The 7,048-nt window shown below is 45.1% G+C and overlaps 1 annotated feature.

Moving 5' to 3' along the window:
• Positions 4,235-4,399: a silencer, noted in NCBI's record as "fragment chr6:15212336-15212500 (GRCh37/hg19 assembly coordinates)". NCBI's record gives its function as "represses an EF-1alpha promoter that drives an FKBP-Casp9 reporter gene in an ReSE screen in HepG2 liver carcinoma cells and K562 erythroleukemia cells {active_cell/tissue: HepG2 | K562}" and the evidence as "EXISTENCE:reporter gene assay evidence [ECO:0000049][PMID:32094911]".

Genomic DNA, 7,048 nt, shown 5'->3' with positions numbered 1-7,048 from the left:
TCAAAGGATTTTCCTGCCTCAGCCTACTGAGTAGCTGGTACTACAGGCACCTGCCACCATGCCCGACTTTTATTTTTATTTTTATTTTTATTTTTATTTTAGTAGAGACGGGGTTTCACTATGTTGGCCAGGCTGGTCTCAAACTCCTGACCTCAGGTGATCCACCCTCCTTGGTCTCCCAAAGTGCTAAGATCACAGGCGTGAGCCACCGTGCCTGGCCTTTTTAATTTTTTTTGTTTTGAGACGGGGACTCACTCTTTCGCCTAGGATGGAGTACAGTGGTGCAATCAAGGATCACTGCAACCTCAACCTCCCTGGGCTTAGTAAACCTCTAACCTCAGCCTCCTGAGTATCTGGGACTGCAGGCATGTGCCATTATGCCAGGATAATTTTTTTCTTTTTTTTCTTTTTTTTTTTTTTGAGATGGAGTCTCGCACTGTCACCAGGCTGGAGTGCAGTGGTGCCATCTTGGCTCACTGCAACCTCCACCTCCCGGGTTCAAGCAACTCTCCTGCCTCAACCTCCTGAGTAGCTGGGATTACAGGTGCCTGCCACCATGCCCGGCTAATTTTTTTGGATTTTTAGTACAGATGGGGTGACTATGTTGGCCAAACTGGTCTCAAACTGCCTGCCTTGGCCTCCCAAAGTGTTGGGATTACAGGCGTGAGCCACCGAGCCCAGCAGATAATTTTTATATTTTTAGTAGAGATGGTGTTTTTCCACATTGTCTAGTCTGGTCAGAAACTCTTAAGTTTAAGTGCTCCTCCTGCCTCAGCATCCAAAGTGCCGGCATTAGAGGCCACCGTGTCCAGCCTGTATTTTTCTTTATAGTTTTTAATTATTAAGATTTCCAGGCCGGGTGCAATGGCTCACACCTGGAAACCCAGCACTTTGAGAGGCCGAGGCAGGAGGATCACCTGAGTTCTAGAGTTCGAGACCAGCCTGACCAACATGGAGAAACCCCGTCTCTACTAAAAATACAAAATTAGCCGGGCATGGTGGCGCATGCCTGTAATCCCAGCTACTCAGAGCAGGCTGAAGCAGGAGAATCTCTTGAACCCGGGAGGTGGAGGCTGCAGTGAGCCGAGATCGCACCATTGCACTCCAGCCTGGGCAACAAGAGCGAAACTCCGTCTCAAAAAGAAAAAAAAGATTTCTTCCTCATTTTTTAAATTTAGCTTTTAATTACAGAAATATTTCTCTTTTTTTTCCACTCTGTCGCCCAGGCTGGAGTGCAGTGGCATGATCTCAGCTCACTGCAACCTCCACTTCCCAGGCTCAAGTGATCCTCCCATCTCAGCCTTCCTAGTAGCTGGGACTACAAGCTCCAACACATGCCCAGTTTATTTTGTTTATTTTTGAGGAGATAGGGTTTTGCAATGTTGCTCAGGCTGGTCTCAAACACCTGGGCTCAAGGGATCTGCCTGCCTAGGCCTGCCAACATGCTGGGATTAGAGGTGTGAGACACAATGCCCAGGTAATTATGGAAAATTTTTAACATATCAATAATAAGCATATATGAGTATGGGGAGCCCTCGTATGCCATCTCTCAAGTTCAACAATTATCAATATTTTGCCATTCTCGTTTCATCTATCCTCTCACTTTTTGTTTTCTGGAGTATTTTAAAATAAATTGGGGACATCACTTTATTCTTCCTGTAAATACTTCATTATGTATGTCTAATAGATAAGGAACTTTTGTTCTCTCTGTCTAAAACACAAACATGGCTGGGCGTGGTGGCTCACCACTTTAATCCCAGCACTTTGGGAGGCTAAGGCTGGTGGATCACCTGAGGTCAGGAGTTCGAGACCAGCCTGGCCAACAGGTTGAAATCATGTCTCCACTAAAAATACAAAAAATTAGCCGGCGTGGTGGCGGGTGCCTGTAATCCCAGCTACTTGAGAGGCCGAGACAGGAGAATCACTTGAACCCAGGAGGCATGGGTTACAGTGAGCCAAGATAGCACCATTGCACTCCAGGCTGGGCGACAAGAGCAAAACTCCACCTCAAAAAGAAAATAAAAAATAAAACACAAACATAATACCTTTTCACCCTACAAAAATCAGCAAAATGCTTTCACGTCATTAATATGCTGTCCATATTCAGTTTTTCCATGATTGTCATTTCATAGTTAGTTCATTCAAATCAGAATCTATACATGGTTCGTAGATCGTTTTTGGTTGATGTGTCTTTTTTAATCTGCCTCCCATCTGCCCTCACCACCCCACCATTTATTTGTGGAAGGAACCAGTTTGCTTGTCCTGTAGAATTCCCCTGGACTTCCCCCAGCTGCATCCTCGTGGACCTAAAATATTATGTTTCTATATCACTAATTACATGTAGTTCATTCATACAAATTAAATATACTGGAACACTTTATGAACGCTATTACAAATATCAAACACTTCCACACTCAGCAAATATTTATTGAGCATCTATTCTGTACAAACTTCCCTTTCTGATCTCTGGGTTAATGTATAACGTCTCTTGCACTAGAAGCTTTGGTCGGATCTTTGCTTTCTCATTTCTTCTATGTCTATATCATAGATCCGGCCATAGATCCTACCTAAAAAACTCAGACTCACCACTTACTCTTAGGTAGTTTCTAGCTACTCAGACAGTTTCTACCATCAGTACTCTAAGACCTCAACTCAGTGTGAATCCCCACAGTGGACTTCAGGCTGGATTGTCAGCTTCATGTAAACTTGATGGTACTTTATCTGTTTACCAAATGGTGAGACAAGGATATCCCAGGTACCTAGCACATTCTCTTATACACAGCAGATACTCAGTAAATATTTGTTAAATAAGTATATACAGGGCCGGGCACGGTGGCTCACACCTGTAATCACAGCACTTTGGGAGGCCAAGGTGGGTGGATCATGAGGTCAGGAGATCAAGACCATCCTGGCTAACACCGTGAAACCCCGTCTCTACTAAAAATAAAAAAAATTAGCCGGGTGTGGTGGCGGGCACCTGTAGTCCCAGCTACTTGGGAGGCTGAAGCAGGAGGATGGCGTGAACCTGGGAGGCGGAGCTTGCAGTGAGCCGAGATTGCGCCACTGCACTCCAGCCTGGGAGACAGAGCGAGACTCCATCTCAAAAAAATAAAAGATAAAAAATAAAAAATAAATAAATAAATAAGTAAATAAGTACATACAGACCTTCTTTTTTTTTTGAGATGGAGTTTCACTCTTGTTGCCAAGGCTGGAGTGCAATGGCACGATCTCACTCACTGCAACTTCTGCCTCCTGGGTTCTAGTGATTCTCCTGCCTCAGCCTCCTGAGTAGCTGGGATTACAGGCATGCGCCACCACGCCCAGCTAATTTTTGTATTTTTAGTAGAGATGGGGTTTTGCCATGTTGGCCAGGCTGGTCTTGAACTCCTGACCTCTGGTGATCCGCCCACCTAGGCCTCCCAAAGTGCTAGGATTACAGGCATGAGCCACCGTGCCTGGCCTGATACAGAGCTTTTTACCTTCAATTGTTATTTCTTATTCAAACTGAACGCTTAGACTAGATTCATCTTCCTTAAGTGTCATCATTTATCTCTTTTTGCTGAGTATATTCTAAGTTCAGTGTGAGCTGAAAATAGCTCAGATCATTTATAAGAACCAATTGTTAAATTTTCAGAAATGTTGTGAGCTGGTTGACATCACATTGGTAATTTGAAATTGGCTGCAATGGGAGTATTTATACCACACAAACTGGCAAATGCAACAAATCACGGCTTTCTTTTACTTCTTCAGAAAGCATATTGTTAAACAGTCTCAGCCTGCGTTGGATACTGCACTGTAAAAGAATCTATGACTGTCTTCTGTAAATACAGAAAGTATTCAGTTTGGTCTTGGAGCTCCTCTGTTATTTGGACTGTTGTATTGAAAATTTTCTTCTATACCATCTTGAATAATTAGATTGTCCTCACTATCCCGTATTCCAACAACTTGTCATATTCTATTTATGCTAGGCTTCCTTTTTTTTTTTTTGAGACGGAGTCTTGCTCTGTCACCACCAGGCTGGAGTGCAGTGGCGCCATCTTGGCTCACTGCAACCTCCGCCTCCCGGGTTCAAGTGATTCTCTTGCGTCAGCCTCCCAAATAGCTCGGACTACAGGTGCGTGCCACTGTGTCCAGCTAATTTATTGTATTTTTAGTAGAGATGGGGTTTCACCATATTAGCCAGGATGGTTTTGAACTCCTGACTTCAAGTGATCTGCCAGCCTTGGCCTCCCAAACTGCTTGGATTACAGGAGTGAGCCACCACATTCAGCCAAGAGCAGGTATTCAGCCTGGCACAGTGGCTCACGCCTGTAATCCCAGCACTTTGGGAGGCCGAGGTGGGTGGATCACCTGAGGTCAGGAGTTGAAGACCAGCCTGGCCCACATGGTGAAACCCCACCTCTACTAAAAATACAGAAATTAGCTGGGTGTGGTGGCGCATGCCTGTAATCCCAGCTACTCGGGAGGCTGAGGCAGGAGAATTGCTTGAACCGGGACCCGGGAGGCGGAGTTTGCAGTGAGCCGAGATTGCACCATCTCAAAAAAAAAAAAAAAAAAAAAAGAGCAGGTATTCAATTTTTTGTCATATGCTCGGCATATGACAATAACTAATTAACATTATTTGAGGACATACTAGTACCTGGCTTTTTATTTTAATTAATCCTGACCATAAACTTATGAAGCAGGTACTACTGTTTCCATTTTACAAATGAGTTAAAGGAAGCACAGATGTTTCCTCTGCATAAACTTCTTTAATCTCTATCTCAATAAATATCACCATCATCTACCCAATTGCTCAAGACATTCACCAGGGAGTCATCCTTCATTCCTCCTTTTTCTCGGACCCCCAACAGCCTATCCAACATCAGATCCTCTTGTCTGTACCGACAAGATATACCCTGGATCCCAATTTGTCCACTTCTCTTCATGTCTATTGCTGTCATCCTTTTTTTTTTTTTTTTTTTTTTTTTTTTTTTTTGAGACAGAGTCTCTTTCTGTCACCCAAGCTGGAGTGCAGTGGCACAATCTCAGCTCACTGCAACCTCTGCCTCCTGGGTTCAAGCAATCCCCTGCCTCAGCCTCTGGAGTAGCTGGGATTACAGGCGCCCGCCACCACGCCCGGCTAAATTTTTGTATTTTCAGTAGAGATGGGGTTTCACCGTGTTACCCAGGATGGTCTTGATCTCCTGACTTCGTGATCCACCCGCCTCAACCTCCTAAAGTGCTGGGATTACAGGCCTGAACCACCAGCCCAGCTAGTCTTCCTATTTTAAGCCACCACTACGTTTCATCTAGATCACTGCTGGTTTTCTCCCCACTAGTCTACTCTTCAACCTATGGTCAGAGAGGTCTTTTAAAAATGTAGGACTGGGCATGGTGGCTCACACACACAAAAAAGAAAGTAGAGGAAGAAAGAATGGCTACTCCAATAGGCAGAGCATCCCTAAGGGCGCTGGTTGCTTATTTTTATGCGTCTTTCTTGATTGTATGCTAAATAAGGGGTGAATTATTCATGAGCTTTCCAGGAAAGGGGTGGGCAATTCCTGTAGCTGCTGTGGGTTCCTCCCCTTTTTAGACCATGTAGAGTAACTTTCTGATGTTGTGTTTGTATTTCTGAACCGTCATGGCGCTGGTGGGAGTGTAGCAGTGAGGATGACCAGAGGCCATCTTGGTTTTGGTGGGTTTTGGCTGGCTTCTCTACTGCAACCTGTTTTTGTTTTTTTTTTTTTCTTTTTTTGAGTCTCACTCCTATTCCCCAGGCTGGAGTGCAGTGGCACGATCTTGGCTCACTGCAACCTCCACCTCCTGGCTTCAAGTGATTCTCCTGCCTCAGCCTCCCACGTAGCTGGGAGTACAGGCACCCGCCACCACGCCTGGCTAATTTTTGTATTTTTAGTAGAGACGGGGTTTTGCCATGTTGGCCAGGCTGGTTTTGAACTCCTGTCCTCAGGTGATCTGCCCTCCTTGGCCTCCCAAAGTGCTGGGATTACAGGCGTGAGCCACTGCGCCTGGCCTACAACCTGTTTTATCAGCAAGGTCTTTATGACCTGTATCTTGTGTCGACCTCCTATCTCATCCTGTGACTTAGAATGCCTAACTGTCTGGGAATGCAGCCCATTATGTCTCAGCCTTATTTTACCCAGCCCCTATTCAAAATGGAGTTGCTCTGGTTCCAATGTCCCTAACACTACCACTTCCTTCCTAGCTAATAAGGTCCAGTCACCCAAATCACCTTGCTGCCTATAACAGGTCAACCTCCTGCATTTGCACCCCTCCTTCCTCAGAATGGCTCTTCTGATTTTCCCACATGTGAGATATTCCTACAGGTCTTAGCGTGAATGTCATCTTCTCTGCAAGACCTTTTCTGACTTCTATCCCAATTCTTATCACATTACTGTTCGTTTTCTTCATACCAGCCATATATTATTCATTTGCACACTGCTGGTGTCCTTCACCAGAATAAGAACTCCCATGATTGCAGAATCCTTGTTGTCATGTAGACTGCTGTAAACCCAGGGCCTAGAATAAGTGCATGGCACATTGCAGGCCAATTAAAAACTTTTGTAAGTTAGTAAATCAAGGAGGGAAGTAAGTGATCCAAGACTCCTGTCTAGGCTTCATTGCTGAGCCCTTCGGTTAAGAAGCTCCTCTTTCCAGGCGGGTGCAGTGGCTCAGGCCTGTAGTCCCAGCACTTTGAGAGGCCGAGGTGGGTGGATCACCTGAGGTCAGGAGTTTGAGACCAGCCTGCCCAACATGGTGAAACCCCGTCTCTACTTAAAATACAAAAATTAAGTGGGCATAGTGGCACGCGCCTGTAGTCCCAGCTACTCGGGAGCCTGAAGTAGGAAAATTGCTTGAGCCTGGGAGGTGGAGTTTGCAGTGAGCCGAGATCGCGCCACGGCACTCTAGCCTGGGTGACAGAGACTCCATCTCAAAAAAAATAAAAATAAATAAATAAAGGAAGTCCTCTTTCCTCTTTTGGAGGAGAAATGGATAGGGAGGTGAGGCAGTCTGTATTTCTATGACTATCCAAAGTTTCTAATGTTTC

Source organism: Homo sapiens, chromosome 6 (assembly GCF_000001405.40).
Source record: "Homo sapiens chromosome 6, GRCh38.p14 Primary Assembly".
Lineage (NCBI taxonomy): Eukaryota > Metazoa > Chordata > Mammalia > Primates > Hominidae > Homo > Homo sapiens.
The sequence above is the reverse complement of the archived record's forward strand: the minus strand, read 5'-3'. Positions and strand labels throughout refer to the sequence as shown.